Genomic DNA, 19,962 nt, shown 5'->3' with positions numbered 1-19,962 from the left:
CAGGGGGTCAAGGCTGCAGTGAGCCATGATCATTCCACTGCACTACAGCCTGGGAAACAGAGAGAGACCCTGTCTCAAAAAAAAAAAAAAAAAAAAAAAAAGAAGACGACGATGACATACTGTACTCTATTGATTGCTTGCTCCACCTCCTACACTCATATGACTGAATCTGAGGGCCTGAGTACAGAGATCATGTATTGTTTGACTTATACCCCCAGTTCTATACATGGTATCCGGCACATAGTAGATGCTTAGTGGATGTTGGCTGGATGAATTTACAAACAGACTAGACCCCATATGAAACACCTACATCATCCAGTGACCCCATTTTCTGGTTGGCCAGCAGGTCCACTTTTACCTTATAAGTCTCCAAGCTGACCTGAAGGACTCTTCCACCCATTCTGTCTTTCAGAGACTTTGGCCAGCTGGCTGTGGAGCTCCTGGACCAGTCCTACAAGCAGGACGAACAGCTGGCCATGAAACTGCTGACGTATGAGCTGAAGAACTGGAGCAACGCCACGTGCCTGCAGCTTGCCGTGGCTGCCAAACACCGCGACTTCATCGCGCACACGTGCAGCCAGATGCTGCTCACCGACATGTGGATGGGCCGGCTCCGCATGCGCAAGAACTCAGGCCTCAAGGTCAGGGCGCCCAATAAGGCCCTCCTGGCTATGAGGACCGGCGGGTGGGTTAGAGTTTTCCCAGCCAAAATCTGCCATGGAATTGGGCATCCTCTTATCTCAGGAGGGAGGTTCTAAATCCTGACTGTGCCTCAGAATCCTGTAGAGTGTTGCTTGGTTTTGTTTATTCCATATAGAGGCTGGGGCCTCCCCCTGGGTCCTGCTGCATTAGCATCTCTATGGAGGATGCCTGGACATTAATATTTTTCGGAGGAGTCAAAGGGGATGGCCACGCACAGGTACTGCAGGGGCTGCCATTTGCACAAGCAAAGCCAGCTGCACCAGGAGTCCCCACCTAGGCCACCTTGTCGCTGCAGAGGGTGCCTGAACCCCTGGCCCTCCTTGGCATCATGTCATAGAGACATTGGCTCTTACCAGATGTGCTTGAGAGGTCTTTTTAAACTAAGATAAAACTGAGATAGATCTACTTGGAAAGCCATTGCTAGATAATCCTAATCTATTCTTAAATGAAGAAAAACAAGTCACAGACCACTGTATATAATCTGAGGCCATTTTTAATGTGTCTATGTATAGTTATGTCTGTATAAATTATCCTATAAAAATCAGGAAGGACACATAGTAAATTGTCCGCAGTGGTTACCTTTGAGGTTGAATGGACTGTGAAAGAGATGTTACTGTTTTTAAGGGAAATAGGATGGTGTATAGCGTTTGCTTTTTTTATGTTCTTTTCAGTGTTTTTCAAGGAAAATGTGAAACTGAAAAAGGAAAAGAAAGACAGAAAAAAATGGGAGATGGAAGACTGAAAGAATATGGGGAGTTTTTTGTTTGTTTTAATTTAAGGTATACAACAAGATGGGTTTTTTGAGAGTTTTTTGGTTTTTGTTTTGTTTTGTTTTGTTTTTGAGACAAGGTCTTGCTCTGTCACCCAGGCTGGAGTGCAGTGGTGTGATCTTGGCTCACTGCAACGTCCACCTCCCAGGTTCAAGCGATTCTCCTACCTCAGCCTCCCGAGTAGCTGGGATTATAGGCACAAGCCACCATGCCTGGCTAATTTTTGTATTTCTAGTACAGACGGGGTTTCATCATGTTGGTCAGCCTGGTCTTGAACTCCTGACCTCAAGTGATCCACCCGCTTTGGCCTCCCAAAGTGCTGGGATTACAGGCATGAACCACTGGCACCCAGCCACAACATGATGTTTTGATATACATAGTGAAATGGTCACTCTAGTCAAGCAAATTAACATATCCATCATCTTGCCTCATTACCCTTCCCTGTGTGTGTAAGAGCACCTAAAATCCACTCTCTTAGCATATTTCCAGTATACAGTACAATATTTCAGCTAGAGTCCTCGTATTGTACATTACATCTGTATGGTACATACTCATCCTACATATCTGCAACTTTGTTCCCTTTGACCTATATGGCCCCATTTCCCATTTCCTCCCCTCCCCAACCTCACCCCTGCCCCTGACACCCACCATTTTATGGGACCAATACCCCTTCTCCATACCACTCTTCCTGTGGGCTCTTGGCCTAGAGTCACAGAAAGGTTCTGTGATGTGGGTCATGGGCACTCCATAGCCACACTGCTGGTGACCGCCAAGCCCGGCCTTAGGAAGGGAGTCATGCTGGCTCTCAGCTCCGAGGACAGGGTGTCATGTCCCCTGAAGATGCCAGCATGCCACCTGAGCCTTCGTAGGCCGGCCAGGCACCCAGAATTCAGCATCATGAATTCACAGCCATTTTCCCTGAACTACTTTGGCGTCCCTGTGGGCATTCAAGCAAGGACTGTTCCTGCCTCATTACTTCAGGATCATTTTTCCTGACCCTTCAGAGGAGTCTTAGCCCCTCATCTTGGAGCAGTTTCTTTAAGGAGGTTCATCTTCAGAAGTCTTGTGCCCCAGAATTGTTTTAGGATTGAGAGAAGAGGTGAGAGAGGACTTGGGGAATACAGTCAGACATCAGTATTATCATGCAGAAACACACTTGTTCATTCTGAAGAATGAGACCGCCCTCTCAGAAGAAAGGCTTCCGTATTTAGTGTCCTTGCATAGATTTATGCGTGATGTTTATACATGAGAGAAATACAGCGCTGGCTTCTCCTGGGGCTTGTGTGTAAGGGGACTCTCTCAGCACATACGGAGCCCACTGGGGGGTGTGTGTGTGTGTATGTGTGTTTGTGTTTCTGCTGTTCTCGTAGCAAATACCAGGAAGATGCCCTAAAATGAATTAAATGCTTTCCTACATGTATTCTCTCAAGGTCAACTTAGGACAGCATTTTTTTTTTTTTTTGCAGAGATAATCAGATAACACATAATCCACTCCACTTGACACATTAGCAAAAAAAAAAAAAATGCCAGTGGACAGATGTATGAATTGATTTCACAGTCAAAATCAAGCGCTGTCTAATGGCTAAATGTAAATCTGAATTCTTTCCCACTTTTGCCTTAAATAGAGTCTCTCTTTCCTCTGTTACCCACATGCAAAGTGGGTGTTAATTGGGTAAGACAAATTTGGGCAAAATGCTTTTTTCCTCCAAAAATGAGACTGAGCTGTGCAAAATATTTCCTAGATGGGACAAAATGATCCTCTTAGTATTAATATGTTAATATGTTAGTTACTCAGATGTCCAGGTCCCCCACAGAGCATATAACAACTGTGTGTGCATGTGTACACACACACACGCATACACTCTTATACCCCATACCTCAGGCTCTCTGATTCTAAACAACCACCCTAATCTTAATCCTTTAAATGTGATTATTATTATTATCATTATTATTACTTTAGGTAATTCTGGGAATTCTACTTCCTCCTTCAATTCTCAGCTTGGAGTTCAAGAACAAAGACGACATGCCCTATATGTCTCAGGCCCAGGAAATCCACCTCCAAGAGAAGGAGGCAGAAGAACCAGAGAAGCCCACAAAGGAAAAAGAGGAAGAGGACATGGAGCTCACAGTAAGAAAACATTGCACAGTTATTCTCTATGGGCAGAATTCCTAATCCACTTGTCCCACCGATATGCTCAAGATTCAGTAACTCCTTAGGTCAGACATCTGTTCCCAGCCTTCCACCAGGTTTAATCATGGAGTGCTTTCATTTCAGTATTGAGACCAGGGTATTGGAAAAGTGTAAATAGCATGACCATAGGGTCCACCCATATGTGAAGTCTTGCAGCCAGCTAGTGGTGCAGGACAAACCAATGAAATTCTAAAGCAAGACACTCTACATTTTCCAAACAAGCAAAGCTTTTTAAACAACCAGATGATGTGTCTGTCTCAGCACACAGAGAAGGAAAGGGAATCCATGATTTGAGAGCAGCCGGCTTCACTGAACTGGTACTGTTCTGCGGATCAGAAGCTAAGCCTGTATCTGTCTTCAGGGTCAGGCTCACAATTACAGCACTAATTGAATTTTGAGGTTTGTATGCAAAGCTTTTATTAGCTCTTCCTCATATAATTATAGAGCATAGAGGCTTTGTTCTGCAGAGGGAAGGGGGCAGCTGGACATGGGACAGCTTCTTGCAACCCCCGCCTGAGCAGCGTGACTGCCACTGGCTCATGTGCAGAGGCTAAAAATATCACATTCTGTTAAAGGGACAAACAAGGCTTCATAGCTTGGAAGTCATCAAGCAACAGCTCCATAAGGACTTTCTCAATATGCCTCACCCTCCCTCACCACCCCCACCAATGACCATTGCTGTAGTGACCCAGAAGCTATAAGGGGTGAAATCACAAATTAATTTTGCTCAGGTGACAAAAGGCCTTTGCATTATTATCCTAGTAGGACAGCAGTGTGAATTGTTTCTCCTGCAGGTAAACAATATTTGCTTCCAGTAGGCTTCTCCTAAAGATCTATTTGCAGACATAATCCCTGACTTACTGAATGAAAGGCCAACTTTTGTTTCAGTTTGAGGATTTGTATAAAAATCTGTGGAGGAGTCGGCTCAGCTCTGTAACAGACGACTGTCTTCCCTAACAATCTCACCATAGTTTTGTCCTCTGAATAGAATATAATAGTTTGATCATTAGAAGAAAATTGGCAATAGTAATACTGAATCTTTATGGAATATTTCAGCTGAACATGTGCTCTGTAGCCAGAATCCTGCCCCATTACCTACTTGCTGTGTGACCTTGGGCACAATTTTATAACCTCAAACACAGGAACAATAATGTTGTCTACCTCACAAGTAGTTGTCTCGTGTAAAAAGTGTGCCTGTAAACTACTTATATTGGAGACTGGCACACTGTGAACTAATACTGTTTTAACAGTGCTAAGTGCTTTACACATACTTACTAATGGAATCCTCACAAAAGTCCCACAAGATAGGCACTATTATTATCCCCATTTTATTTATTTATTTATTTTTAGAGACAGGGTCTCACTCTGTCACCCAGGCTGGAGTAAAATGGTGTGATTATAGCTCATTGTAACCTCAATGGGATTCAAGGGATCCTCTGGGCTCAAGGGATCCTCACACCTCAGCCTCCCAAGTAGCTGGGAATGCAGGTGCACACCACAACACCTGGCCTTTTTTTTTTTTTTTTTTTAAGAGATTGCCCAGGCTAATCTTGAACTCCTGGTTTCAAGCAGTCCTCTAGCCTTGGCCTCCCATAGTGCTGGGATTACAGGTGTGAGCCACCACACCCAGTCCTAATCCCCATTTTACAAATGAGGAAGCTGACAGTCATAGAGGTTAAATTGCTCAAGGATACCCAGCCTGTTCATGGCAAAGCTAAGATTAGAACCCAGGCATATAGACTCCATCAGCCACACTTTTAGACAATAGGTTAAGGGTGAGAGAGAATGTCTCTCTAGTCTCAAGTGTGGCCACTCAGCCGATTTGGTCCACCATGTAGCAGAAAGAATCCAAAAGTGATGAATGAGCCTCCAAAGTCAAGTGTGGCACAGTCCTGACATCAGCACACATCCTAGGAAGACATCCAGAAACTGAATCAGCATTCTCTCTGGTTGGGTCTCAAGGAAGAAAGCAAAGGGAGGTAGCTTCCCCTGCTCAGCCTAGAGCTTTGAGAACCTGATCCTTCAAGAAGCCACCATAAGAGATGCATCTCTAGACTAAGAGCAAAGTTTAGTAACAAGAGAATAGACCCTGACGTTGTTTACTAAGAGCCCAGTAGAAGGTTCTGCAAGAGCTTTGCTGCCCAAGCTTCTTCTCCACAGGCAGAAACAGCAGGGAGAAGGAAAGAAGGAAAGGACATGTGGCCTGGCAAACTCAGGGCTGGACAGCAGTTGTCTGTAAAGTGGACCCTTCCCTTGACTCTGATGGCAAATTCTGTCACTGCTCAGGCACTGGTCAGTGGACAGAACTTGGACAGAACTGCAGAGTGCAGCTCATTGGCACTTCCCCTCCTTTTATGGGATTGATATTTGAGCTTCTGTGTTAAACCAGTATATCCTCTCTTGGAATGGGACATTTTCCTTTGGCCCTTCCAAAACGACACACGAAAATATCAACCTCAATTCACTCCATTTTTGTAGCTTTTAGTAGTTTAGTTCACCTCAAAAGAACTTTCTCAGCCTTGACATCTGTGTCTAGCCAGCATAGATTCTCAAATCATGCTGTGCAGTTTTGTCTATATTTGACCCTGTTAGATTCTGCTTTAAGGAATGTCAAAGGAAATGTCTGAATACAGAGAAAAGACATAAACAAAATCACAAGTTAAGCTGCTTAGGCTGGAATTAATGAAATGTCAAAAATGCTTTACTTAAACCCGTGAAAGACAAGCCTTTTACAAATGCATTCATGCTGGAATATATCTGAATAATAAAGGCAAAACAGGTTTTTGCTTTTGTTTTGAATGCAGTGCTGGTTAAATGTCTCCACTTTGCCTAATAAAGTCCCCACAAGTCCACAGACCCAGGACATGTCTATAGCTCTGTTGGGAAAGTCACCATCCCCAGAAGTTACCCCAAAATGCCACTCTCCAAGATGCCTAAAAACCTTCTGGCTGTCTTTACTCTCATCTCATTGTGTCCGCAAATAGCATTAGATTCTCAAGCATATAAATAAGCAGAACAGAGGCATGATAATTATGTTACATAAATTATAGACAGCCAAATGTCATGTAACCTCAGTTTCTTGAGGTCAATGATCAATATTTATAGAATTCTATCACAGTCTAGTGTGCCATGTCCATCAGAAAGATTTACTCCACTCAATGATGAAAATACACACTTCAATAAGTCTTAGTATGGAATCTAACTTTATTAACCCAAGGGACTTTTCCAGCCGGAGTCCACAAAGGAATGGAAGTTACCTTCTCCAGAAATCCTATTGGTTACAGGTCAATCATTTGTGATTATTACATAGTTGAGTAAAGTGGATATTTGAGGTAATGAACCAAGTAGTTGAAACTAATATTTGTATACTTTAGGTAAAGTGGTTTTAAGCCAGAATTATCTAGGATTGTCTCTATTCTCAACTTCAAAACTAATGCATTGTTTCTATAATGAGCTCTCTCAACTTTAAGCTTGTTTCCCAGTACTCTGTCTTGCCCCAAATCCTTGTCAGTCCTGAAGTTATAAAGTCTTACCCTGTCTTCACATGTAATAAAAATCTCCAAACTTTGTGAAACTAGCTTTGTGTTAGAACAGTACTGAAGAATTAAAGTCAAGAAATTATGCTGTTATAGATTCTAATAACACTTTTTTGTTCTAGTGAGTGAGTGATCTCAACTAGATCATTTTAGTCAGGAGTGTCTAAGAAGGTCTCAGTTCACTTTAAAGCCTAGCTAGTGTTTACTGAGCACTTACTAAGTGCCAGATGCTACCTGACTTGTAGGCCAACCCTATAGTGAGTACTTTATTACCCTCATTTTACAGTTAAAGAAACTAAGTCTCAGAGTGGTTAAAAACCTTTCCCATGGTGCCACCAATTTGAAGTGTCTGAGTTAGGATTCAGTCTCCCGTCTGAGTGACCCAGGGCCTGGAACTCTTTCTCAGTTAAGTCATTATAGTTGTCACTGCTACTGTTGTCATGAATGAAAAGGAAATGATTCTGTTCTCAAGGAAATTTCCAGCAGCTTGGAGATGAGGACCTCTCCAGGTCAGGCCTGAATGGAATCCTTCTCCTAGTCCCACGTAGTTGCAGAGGAAGGCAGTGTTCACAGGAACTTCCATAAAACTAGTACCAGCAGTAATTCAGGATTTACAGTGTTTAAAATTAGGGAACCAAGGCACATGCCTAAGGGTCAGGGAGAAGTCGCTAACTGTTTTAGTCCCGTTTTCACATGGCCATAAAGATACCACCTGAGACTGGGTAATTTATAAACCAAAGAGGTTTAATTGACTCACAGTTCTGCATGGCTGAAGAGACCTTGGGAAACTCACAATCATGGTGGAAGGCAAAGGGGAAGCAAGGCATGTCTTATATGGTGGCAGGAGAGAGAGAGTGACAGACCGAGGAAGTGCCACACTTTAAAACCATCAGTTCTCATGAGAACTCACTATCACGAGAACAGCATGGGGGAAACTGCCCCCATGATCCAATCAATCACCTCTCACCAGGTCCCTCCCTTGACATGTGGGGATTACAATTCAAGATGAGATTTGGGTGGGGACACAGAGCCAAACCATATCACTAACCTAACTAATTGCAGGCACAGCAGATAATTTACCTCTTGAGTATTCACAACCTTTGGATAAATTAGGTATGCTGGTCCAATTTACCTTTAAGGGTCATTATCATCTGAAGAGACAGAATTTGAACCCAGATCTAGCCTGTTTCATGATATATAGAAAGAGAGCAGGTGGGGAGGAAGAATAGATTCCTGAAGCCTGGCCTTCCCAGGCTACACTGTTTCTTCCTCTCTGGACTCTGGGTATCATCTATAACCCACATCTTCTAGAATTCCCAGGGTGGAAGAGAAGAGAATGGTCAAGAAATACACCCAAGGCCTTCCATCTCAGGCAAAGGGTATTCACAGATTATACGTGTAGTGCAAATGCACTCTTAGGGAAGGTACAACCTCTAAATCTCTGGGGCCTTGGGTTCTTAGGTTCTATGAGCATCCTTTCCTCATCTGTAAAGTAAGCACATTGAACAACATGCTCTCCAGAGCCCTGTCATGATGGTATCGATTCTCTTCCAACATAGGCAATGTTGGGACGAAACAACGGGGAGTCCTCCAGGAAGAAGGATGAAGAGGAAGTTCAGAGCAAGCACCGGTTAATCCCCCTCGGCAGAAAAATCTATGAATTCTACAATGCACCCATCGTGAAGTTCTGGTTCTACACAGTAAGCACATTTCCTTTTCTCCTTCCTAGTGGATGGCCACAAGGAGCCAACGTCCATTTCTCATGCATCTGTGTGGTTTTCTCTGCAAGTCGTAAGTGCCACACACAGGAGTGAAAGTTCTGTGACCTTGCTTTTTCAATAGCTCTGCAAGATTTGTGGCGTTTGTTAGGCAGCTTTCACAGGCCACATTTTGCCTCCTCTCAGAAAATAAAGGAAATGGTGGAGGTGAGAACTAACAGTAATAGAGGTGAGATGAGTATGAGTCTTGCCTAACAGGAAAGTAGATGTTCTTTTCCGAAATACTTCCTTGTTTTGAATGGATAAGGGCTAGATCACAGTTGCCCATTTTAGATGTCAGTCCCGGATTTGGGGGTACTTTTGGTGGGTAAGGAGTGAGGAGAGTGTGGAGGTAACACCACTAAAGAAGGTAGTGTGTGTATGCATGCGTGTGTGTGCATGTGTAACTACTCACAGTCTGCTAGTGTCATCAAACAACCCTTCTTGTTCCAACACAATTAACAATATGCAAACCACAGCAGCAAAAACTACTCAAAGGCAAATATTGTTTAGTTTGCACATCCTGTAAATATTTCTGCCTACAAAAGAGTGGATTGTCCCTGAAATGACGACCTCCTGATATGGTAGAAATTGTTCAATTATTGGTTCTCTACTTCTACTGTTCAGTGATTTTTTTTTTTTTTAAGATGAGCTTTTGGCCCAGGTCATCTCCAATTCTTTCCAGCCACGGTGGAACTGTGCCAGATGAAGGATAGTGCATCTGTATTTTTAGCCCTTTCCACAACCAGCTGCGTAGCAGTCATTTGAGTCAGCAACAGGATAATCTGAATCTGAGGCCAAAATGACTCAAATGACCAGATGAGGTGCTTTTCACGTGGTCCTGTGTGCTAACACTTAACATTGACTTTAAAGCTGGGTTTCTCTACTTCAGTGCTATTGACATTTAGGGCAGGATAATTCTTCATTGTGGGGGGCTGTCCCCAACAGGTAGCATGTTTTACAGCATCCCTGGCCTCTACTCAGTGGCAACTCTTCATCCCCCAAGTATGACAATCAAAATGTCTCCAGACATTGCTAAATGTTCCCTTGTGGGATAAAATTGCCACCATTCGGAAACTACCACTTTAAAGTGTGGTCTTGAGAAAAGATAGGATATTATCGAAATGTAAATATTAGATGTTTTCAGTGAGGTAAAAATTCAAATTTATCAATGTTAGGAAAAGAGAAAAATTCTCTCCCCCCAAAAATAACTGAGGCATGCAAAAATCGTTTCTATTCATATATTTTATACAGCTCTATATTATTTTTAACCTTGCAGAAAACAGCTTAGTGGTGACAAGCATGGACTTTGGAATCAGACAGCCTGGGTGGGAATCCCATCTGCACCTCTTACCATGTGCCCTCAAACAACTTAATTTCCCCTTCTGTCCACAGTTTTCTTAAGATGCCAATAATAGTAGTTCCGATTTTATAGGATTTAATCAAGATTAAATGTGTTAAAACATGTAAAGCACTTAGAACAGTTCCTTGACATATAAGTACAATGTAACTGTGACTATTGTTTCTTCTAGGCTATTCACGTTGCCCAGCAATAGATAATCAGTGTTGTGTTCATACATCCACTCAACAAAAATAATATCTTTCTTTTATTGAGCACCTACTAAGTTTGAGGCAATGTTCTAGGTACTATTATTTAAGTACTCTTTGTAATCCTAACAACTATTTTATCAAGATAATATTTATTTATTTAGGAGACAAACTCTTACTCTGTCACCTAGGCTGGAGTGCAGTGGTACAATCTTGGCTCACTGCAACCTCCATCTCCTGGATTCAAGTGAGTCTCATGTCTCAGCCTCCCGAGTAGCTGGGATTACAGGTGTTCACCACCACACCTGGCTAATTAATTTTTGTATTTTTAGTAGAGATGGGGTTTTGCCACGTTGGCCAGGCTGGTCTTGAACTGCTGGCCTCAAGCTATGGGCCTGCCTCAGCCTACCAAAGTGCTGGGATTACAGGCAATAACCACTGCGCCCAGCCCGAGATAATATTTTTGCAGCTATTTCACACCCAGGTCTGTCCTTCCTTTTATATTATGATTCCCCAACTGTTAGCTTAGAACAGGGCTTGGCAAACTACAGCTTTTGAGCCAAATTCAACCCATGGCCTGTGATTGTGGCCTGCGAACTGAGAATGGTTTTTACATTTTTAATAAAATTTGAAAAGGAATACTTGAAACACATATTCAAATTTTAGTGTCCATAAATAATTGGAACACAGGCAGACTCTTGATTTCTGTTAAAAGAAAAACTTGAGCCGAATAAATTTAAAGGAGTTTAATTGAGCAAATGAACGATTCGTGAATTGGGCAGTCTTCCAAGCCAGAGTAGGCTCAGAGACTCTGGCAGGGCCACGTGGTGGAAGATTTATGGACAGAAAAAGGGAAGTGGCATACAGAAAACGGAAGTGAGGTACAGAAACAGCTGGATTGGTTACAGCTCAGCGTTTGCCTTATTTGAACACAGTTTGAGCAGTTGGCTACATTTGATTGACCGAAACTCGGTGATTGGTCTTGTTACACCTTCATTTGTTATAGTTCACAATGTACAGAGAAAACTTCAGGCCGAACTTAAGGAGGCAGCTTTAGGCTAAATCTCATTTACCATTAGCAATAGGCTGACTGACTGCTTTTGTGCTACCACATCAAGTTGATGAGTAGTGAGAGACAGAGAGAGACTATCGGTTCTACAAAGCCTTAAAAGTTAACCAGTTGGCCATTTGCAGAAAAAGTTTACAGACTCCCGAGAGCAGAAATCAGTAGAAATAATAGTATCAATATCTCTAAAACGTCCATGATGACAAGGGAGTTTTGTTAGAAATGCAAATTTCTAGCCCCATCATAGACCCATGGAATCCAGTCTTCAGGAAGGAGCCTAAGAGGCTGTGTTAGTTTAACCAGCTTCCCAGGCGAATCTTATGATTGGAGACACTTGAGACACGCTGCTTTGCTTATGTCATTGGCAGCTTGTTGGGAGGCTGCCTCTTTGGCGGGGGGTGGTGGGGCCTGTGTGTCCAGCACACTTCTGCGTGGCTGACTGGATTGGCCTCAGCAAACCCATCAGACTGGATCCCCCAGATCTGTTCAATTGTGTTTACATGATTCTCCAAAATTCATCTTCACATATTGACAAAGCCCAGGCCTCGAGGAAGTGACTGGAAATAAGGTATGCCAGTCTTTTGAATCACCAGACATGCTTAACAGTACAATTCAATTTCAGATTGAAGGTCCCATGTGCTTTGGGCTGTGTTTTTCTCTGTAAGAGTATTTCTCACCAGATTTTCAAAAATGGTCTCTCCTACTCTCCCAAGTTTCTGAAAGGTAGGACACACTTCATTTCCATATAACCTCACTTCTGCATCGTAGCAAGTTTCTCTAGGAGCAGATTGGGTCCTCTTCTGGTCCAAGAAGAAAGGAGGCAGGGGTCCAACTGGCTCCTAGACCCTGCTTGTTTTGAGAGCCTATTTCAGGTATCCATCTGGAGAGGATTCAAATTCAAGGTGTGAAGTGGCTGCAGGTCAGAGGACACAGTGTGTGCTCTGAGTTTCTCTAGTAGTGACCAACTCTATCCTCTACAAGACCATGTGCCCCTCTGCTCTCCAGAGGTAGTAGAAAAAGGCCCAGGAAGAAGTGAGGAAGAGCAAAGCCCCACCAGGGATCCATAGCAAACTGTGTCAGGCTTTAGTGCTTGTGTTTGATAGTTAGTTTAAGAAGCATGAATCTTAGTTAATGGAAAATGCATAGAAAGAATATATGTTAATAAAATACAAATTCTTAGAGTTCTCCTACTGACTTACTTAAATAAGACTCACAGGTTCAAAAGCTTGGAAATTCTACATACAGGTTGCTAAACCTTACAGAGTATACATATATATATATATATACACACACACACACACACACACAATTAAAGCATGTCATGTCAAGATAATCTACAGCAAGGCTGCATGAATGTTGGTGAGTTCTATGATAGGCTGCTTCCAGGACAGCAGCCAGTCCTCTGTTATGCCATCTAAACATAAGACCCTATTTTCAGAAGTCTGTATTTTGAGAGTTGTCCCAAAATATTATATTATAGCTTGACTATGGGAAAAGTTCATTATAGAATAACTGTGATGTAAAAAACAGGCAGGGGCTAAAAATGATGAAAGTGGAGGAAACATAACCAATAATGAGGGCAATTTAAAAAAAAAGAAGAGAGGTGTGAACAGTTAATTGGGGATCAAAGGGAAGTAAGGACTAAGGGAAGAGGAGACAAAAAGAATAACAGAATAATATCAGCCAGCATTTATTGGGCCTCTACAGTGTGTTGGGAGATACAGACAGACAGATAGATAGATATATAGATCCCCAGTCATTATAAAGGCCCTATAAGGAAAGTGGAAGTGATCCCATGTTACAGAATGGAGGCCCAGGCAGGTTAACATTACAAAAGGTGATACAGCTAGGAAGTATGTGAGCTGAGATTTAAATCCAAGCTTCACTGATATCTATGCCTACCTTCCTTCCACTGAACACATTAGACTTGTATTCAGAGGACAGATGTAGGTTCAAGGAGTTACTTAAGCATTAAAATAGGTTTAAGGAGTTACTTAAGTATTAAAATGCAGAGGTTCTGGAAGAATGTGCATGTCACTAGGCCTACATATGACAAGAGAAGATAATGCTTTGGAATGTTTTGCAATCATTTGGGCAAAATGATAAAACCAGGGCAGTTAACAATATTCATTTCACCTACAAGTGATGGAATTTGACCCAACTAAGAGAAGGAAGCAACAAGGAGAGGGAAAGAGTTCAAGTCAGAAGGAGGCTGAGAGTATATTTTAGAGTTTTAACCACTAAAGTCCTTTTTTTGTTTTTTGCAGTCTGTACTCACAGGACTACAGAATTAATGCCAGTGTATAATAATGGTAAACGGAAACCATATGAACCAAGTTCCATTTTGAACTGATTTTTAAACAGCGTCCTACACAATTTTAAGTAAACTCCTTCATGAGAAGTTTTCATGATTTGCCAATGCTCCTGAAGATGGGGAGGGGTAGGAACTTAGGCATAGGTTGAAATGATAGGCCCCTGGGGGTGGGGGTGGGGGTGTGCCAGCACAAACCATGCATGTAGAGAGTGAGCCCAGATATCCAGCTCTCATAAGTGATCTTATTTAACTCCGACATACTTCACCCTTTAAGAGATGAGGGACTTTTGTGCAACAGTTGTGTCTGCAAATGTGTCAGTGTGATGGGGTCTCAGAGATACCTTGGAGTCATATTAAGACTCTATTTAGGCGAGGCGCAGTGGCTCACACCTGTAATCCCAGCACTTTAGGAGGCCGAGGCGGGCAGATCACTTGAGGTCAGGAATTCAAGACCAGCCTGGCCAACATGATGAAACCTCAGTCTCTACTAAAAATACAAAAATTAGCCAGACGTGGTAATGGGTGCCTGTAATCCCAGCTACTCCGGAGGCTGAGGCACGAGAATCGCTTGAACCCAGGAAGAGGTTTGCAGAAAGCCGAGATCGCACCACTGCACTCCAGCCTGGGCAATAGAGTGAGACTCAGTCTCCAAAAAAAAAGAAGAATCCATTCAGCTGAGCATGGTGGCTCATGCCTATAATCCCAGCATTTTGGGAGGCCAAGATAGATAGGAGGATCTCTTGAGCCCAGGAGTTTGAGATCAGCCTGGCCAACAAAGTGAGATGCTGTCTCCACTAAAAATACAAAAACTTAGCTGGGTGTGGTGGCACGTGCCTGTTATCCCAGCTACCCAGGAGGCTGAAGTAGGAGAATTACCTGAGCCCAGGAAGTCAATGCTACAATGAGCCGAGATCACAATGCCACTGCACTCCAGCCTGGGTGACGAGAGTGAGACCCTGTCCCAAAACATAAGAGAATTAGTAGAGAAAGCAGCATATCCCCCAGCAAGGCTGCAGCTTCCTCCACCTTCTAAGCTGCCTTCCCAGCTACAAAGTCATGCAGTACCTCCAGACCCCTCAAGGCCTCAATCCTTTCACCCACACTGTGTCTATTCTTTGCTACACCACTCTGAAGAGTGCAGCAGATTTTAGTTAATAAACTCCCTCTTGGTTCCTGCTCACAGCCCCTGAGGCCCCTAAGGCCAGTGAGTACCTCACTTGACTTGAGGCATTGTGTAAGGAAGGCCCAGCTAGTCTGCCATTTCCCTTAAGGTGAGTGAGTCTTCTCTCAAGGCTCCTCAGCCCCTTATGCAAGAGCCACCAGTTTCCCTGCACTTCACTCACCTTGACACAACTGAATCTTCCAGGAGCAGTCACCAAACCCTAGGGAGTTCTTCCCAGACATCCAGCAATTCAGCCAGTCACATCAGGATTCAACCCCACGAGCCAGAGCCTCTTGGGGATTAAACCCCACACCCGTCCACAAAAGGCCACACGGACCCTTTCCTTTCTGTAAACTGTGTTGTCTTTTCTTGTGTTGTTTCAATGAAGCAGACACCAGGAAGGAATATCTTATCTTAACTTGATTAGGACAGGAAAGTGGTGAAATGAAAACAGGTAAGACCCTCCCAGGGCACTGACAAGCGAAGCACTTTAAGCCTGGGCTATTTTTATGTTGGTTTGACCAATTTACAGGTGTTACATGTGTCTTCCTCTTCCTTTGCTTCTCACAGACACTTATTCTGCCTGGCATTCGTGAGGCAAAAATCCACTGTGCTGCCCTAGTTTAAGAACCTAAGGTCCACGCCTGAGCAAGAGCCGCCACTGACAGCCAAGGCTCCCTTTTTAGCCAAGAAAACACACAAAAATGGGTAACTGCAAGGCGAAATGATGCATCATGACACATAGATTTAAACGAAGCACCAGAGCCCCAGAGATACATGTACAGGTCAAAAGGAAGATTGCATATTATAATCCTTCAAGTATTACTGTCTTTTCTAATTCTTTTGTTAGTTTAGCACCTTCAAGTTCCTTTTGTCATAAAGTCTGTGTCCTGCTTGCTGACCCTGCTCTGTGCTGCTGTGCAGTGGCCTTGGCTGATGCTGGGGCTCCTGGGCCTGAACAGCCAGAGCACTGTATTGTGTCTCCTTACAGCTGGCGTATATCGGATACCTGATGCTCTTCAACTATATCGTGTTAGTGAAGATGGAACGCTGGCCGTCCACCCAGGAATGGATCGTAATCTCCTATATTTTCACCCTGGGAATAGAAAAGATGAGAGAGGTAACGGCTTTTATAAAAGAAAACGTAAGAGAAAGACAGTGGTTAAGTTCTATCTGTGGATGGAGGGGACAGGAAGATGCCTGGGATGCAAATTAAGCCGGAAACTGTTTTCTCTAACTCTACCACAGCTGCTTCTTTGCTCCTCTGACAAACCTGGGGAGGCTTCACAGTGTGGTGCTTATAGGGGTGTAACTCCCTGAGTGCTTAGGATTTGGTCTATTCTCTGCTAACGTAGCCTTTGTCCCAAGAAGGCCTCTAGTTGTTTTTGATGCCTCATCCCTATAAACATGACTTTCTAGATTTTGCCACTTTTAACTCCCATTTCTCCCCCTTATTCTGGGTGTCTTCGGACACAGTCTGCCAATACCTGTGACTCTCTGGATGTATTTCGGCTGCTTTAGGAGGAACTCTGCTTTCACTCACTGATTGGATTTATTCTCTGGTTTATTTCTTAACATTCTGCTCGTACCTGCTGGGCACCAACCACTCTGCCAGCAGGAGGGACCACCAAGGTGAACTGAACACAGATCCTTCAGGTTGTGAGTGCAGGGTCCCTCTTTTCTCCCCCCACTTCTATGGCCTAAAAGGAGCCTTCAAAATGCCACCCCTAAATGGTTTATTTGAAATCAGAGCTAACCTCAGGGGCCCATCAGATTCAGAGCTGCTAAAAAGAATGTGATTAAGCGAAAATCCACAAGAGGGCTCTGCAGCCCCACTCAATGTTCACCACAAGCTCCTATTTCATCAGGGAAAGCCATTAGGAAGGCAGGCTTAGGAGGTAGTGCTGATTTCTCTGCATTTTTCCTGAAATGACAGTAAGCAGGACAGGCCCTTTCTGGAAGAAATGCTCCCGTTCAAGTCCACTGGGTCTTTAAGAGCTCAAGAACAACCCTAATTGCTGTACTGCAGTGGGTGGGAAAACATACTGGGCACCATAGGAAAAAAGGACTCCTACAAATCCACAACTTCATTCTTGCCTTCATTACAAAGACAGGTTAAAAGGCAAGGGTTTCAGCTCTATAATGTTCTCTTCCAGAGAAAAGATGCAGTATCTGTTAGATGCAGTTGTATTGGGATCATAAAAAATGTCTTATCTCTTAAGCCCTTCTCTTGAGTTTTTAAACTATTTGGGTGATATTTTAACTCTGACTACCATCTCCCCATCCTGAGAACTTGGGAATGGCTCTGCTAGTCTCATTTTACAAGAGCCTGGATTTAAAAAAAAAAAAAAAAAAGGAATGCCTTGCCTTGTTCCAGCTGGTTGTCTGCACTTCGGTCTTCCCATTCATGGTGCCTTTTCTTCTTGACCAATGTTGTGGATTTCCCATTTGTAAACTGAAAAACAGTAATAAATTTGCTTTGGTCTTTGTGCAGCTCTCTGAGAACTGAGGCCCGCTCCTGCTGGGGCCCTGTGGCTGTGCTGTGCCAGCTGGCACTCGAGCGATTTAACGCCTAGACGCATATTCCTTCCCCATGATAAGCAGAAAAGGGAAGGACTCGAGCAGGGAGATTGGAGTCTCTCCAGGGACCAGACTGGGAGAAGACAGGGAGCAGTCTGTACTCCACGGACTGTTCTGGCAGAGGCTGCCAAACGGGCAGGCTGCCAGGAGCCTCGAGGCCTGGATATCCATTTCTCCTGAAGAGGCATAGAATAGCAGGGAGGGCAGGGCTTTGGAGGCTGGAGTCAGGAAGGGGTCAACTGAAGATTCCCGCTTCCCGTGGGGAGTGAGGCGGTGACCACCTCCGAGTCTGACCTTTTCCTCTGCGGCTCAGTGAGGCGGCGCCCCAACCCCTGTGTCCTGCCCTGAACTCACTGAAGAGTTGCTTGACGACCAAAGGGTGAGGACCCCACAGGCCATGCCCTTCCTGCCTCTTCACAGTCAGCACGCAGGACCTCCAGGGCTCAGACGCAAGATCCTGGAAATGTGGAAAAGTTTGCATGCTTTGGTGCCTTCCCAGGGATACACAAAAGGAAGGCTTTGTGGTTTCCCATGATACCCCCATTCCCAGCCCCACATACTTCTGCCCGGAGTCACCAAAGCAAGCCCCGGTAATCCCTTAATAGCATGGCACTGTTTACAGCATGCGTGGGTAGACGTTATCTCATCTGGATCCTACCCCCGCCGACAACTCTGTGAGGTCGATGGCGTGACTATGATGACGTCCCACTGCACAGGTCTGGGAACTGAGACTCAGGGTTTTAGCAATTTCCCCGTATCCCACAGCTAGAAAGGACAACTGAGTATGCAACCTGACAGATCCGTCCCTAGACTCACTGCTCTTTCTACTCCCCCACGATGCTCCTCAGGCTCCCAGGGTTCTAAGACAGGTGCCTGAGGGCTGGTTCGAGAGGTGGAGGAGGCAGGGGGGATTCTTGACTTTCCACTTCTGCCTCACCCCGGACTGTTCTGCTCTCATCTCTTTTTTAATGTTGGGACTTTACCAAAAAATGCTTCACTATTTAAAAATGATACTACAAACCTCTGTGTTTAGCAGTTTTAGGAAAGTGTGAGCAAAGGGTTGGAAAAGCTCAAGGCATTGCCCATCAACCCCCTCTCCCAGCTACATACACGGATTTTTGCTCTGTTAAGATGCAGCCAGGGAGTGAGAAGCCATCAGGACAACACCAGCTGCAGAGATTGCTGATGACTAGGGCAGTGGTTCTCAAACTGTGGCCACCAGCAGGAGCTGGGAACTTGTTACACATGTAAATCCTCCACCCCACCCCCAGCCTCCTGAAGCAGAAACTCCAGACTGAGGGCCCAGCATCTATATTTTACCCAGCCTTCCAGCTGATTCTGATGTGCACTGAAGTTTAGAAACCCTGGGCTAGGGCTTAGGGCAGGACACTGCCTGTGAAAAATAGGGCTCTTGGGTAGCTCCTGGTACCCTGCTCAGCTTCCAAGTCCCAGCCCTGACTTACGAAAACCTGTCTTCCTTAGTATTTCAGAATTAGGTAAATCATTATAGTGGACATGAGGATTCACACAAATAGCTGGATATAGACCTGCCTCCAGTCTTTTCTCTCCTCTCCTTTGAGAGGTTCTGAGGTGGGGAAAGGGGTTGGTCATGGTTTGAAGAGATGGAATCCTCAGAGGTAAACACCAGCAATTGAGGAAGGTGGCCCTGGTGCACAGCTTCACTAAGTGGCATTCCCTGGCTTCTCACATCCTGGGGTGGTCTGTGATGCAGGATGGGTGCAACTTCTGCTGTCCAGCTGTGCATTTCATAGACCCATGTGTGGTAGCCCCTCTAAGTTTAAGGTAAGGCAAGAGTCCCACAAAGGAGTTAGGATATGCAAGGAACTGGAAAATTGCTGTTAGTGCCTACACAACAGTCAGTCTGTTGACAAATATGTATTGAGTTTCTATTATGTAACAGGCCTGGGGTACAAAGGGTCTGCCCTCAGAGTTTCAGTCTAGGAAAGAGAGAAGAATGGATGGACAGATGAATAAATAGATGATTGATCAATTGATTGATAGGCAGACACACATACTCATACACACATACATATAAAAGCTACAGTAGATAACTTCATATAGTGATAAAAACTTCAAAAAAATAAATAGGGTAATGTATTGGAGAGTGACTTGGGGACATGAAGTCAGCTGCAGCTAAAGTAATCAAAAAAGGCCTTCCTAAAAAGGGGACATTTGATCAGAGACCTTGAAGATGAAGAGGAGCCAAATACAGATCTGGGAGAAGAAAGTGCTGAACAGAAGGAATAAGTACAAGCATCCTGAATATCGAATAAACTTGTTATGCTTAAGAGATGACCAGTATGGCTGCAGGGTAG

General features: G+C 44.1%; 1 protein-coding gene and 1 long non-coding RNA gene across 20 annotated transcripts in view, besides 3 other annotated features; one reads left to right on the top strand and one right to left on the bottom strand.

The window, feature by feature from the left end:
* Positions 1–19,962, top strand: part of TRPM3 (transient receptor potential cation channel subfamily M member 3) — a 917,912-nt gene that overhangs the window by 827,464 nt on the left and 70,486 nt on the right. For all 19 annotated transcript variants that reach the window (NM_001366143.2, NM_001366141.2, NM_001366142.2 and 16 more), the window contains 4 exons: positions 413–641; positions 3,433–3,600; positions 8,759–8,899; positions 16,038–16,166. In NM_001366143.2, the coding sequence (NP_001353072.1) occupies positions 413–641; positions 3,433–3,600; positions 8,759–8,899; positions 16,038–16,166 (667 nt within the window). The remainder of the gene's footprint in view (positions 1–412; positions 642–3,432; positions 3,601–8,758; positions 8,900–16,037; positions 16,167–19,962) is intronic.
* Positions 11,236–17,553, bottom strand: LOC107984011 (uncharacterized). The gene is made up of 3 exons (XR_007061572.1): positions 15,228–17,553; positions 14,761–14,840; positions 11,236–12,450 (listed from the first exon to the last, which is right to left on the bottom strand). It is a non-coding gene; the product is annotated as an uncharacterized LOC107984011 (long non-coding RNA).
* Positions 17,351–17,851: an enhancer, noted in NCBI's record as "H3K4me1 hESC enhancer chr9:73216573-73217073 (GRCh37/hg19 assembly coordinates)". NCBI's record gives its function as "activates a minimal SCP1, AML or CMV promoter by ChIP-STARR-seq in naive H9 embryonic stem cells {active_cell/tissue: H9 hESC(naive)}" and the evidence as "EXISTENCE:reporter gene assay evidence [ECO:0000049][PMID:30033119]".
* Positions 17,351–18,740: a biological region, named in NCBI's record as "BRD4-independent group 4 enhancer GRCh37_chr9:73215684-73216883".
* Positions 17,541–18,740: an enhancer, noted in NCBI's record as "BRD4-independent group 4 enhancer chr9:73215684-73216883 (GRCh37/hg19 assembly coordinates)". NCBI's record gives its function as "activates an origin of replication core promoter dependent on BRD2, P300/CBP, MED14 and CDK7 cofactors, and independent of BRD4, by STARR-seq in HCT116 cells {active_cell/tissue: HCT116}" and the evidence as "EXISTENCE:reporter gene assay evidence [ECO:0000049][PMID:35650434]".

Source organism: Homo sapiens, chromosome 9, assembly GCF_000001405.40.
Source record: "Homo sapiens chromosome 9, GRCh38.p14 Primary Assembly".
Taxonomy (NCBI): domain Eukaryota; kingdom Metazoa; phylum Chordata; class Mammalia; order Primates; family Hominidae; genus Homo; species Homo sapiens.
The sequence above is the reverse complement of the archived record's forward strand: the minus strand, read 5'-3'. Positions and strand labels throughout refer to the sequence as shown.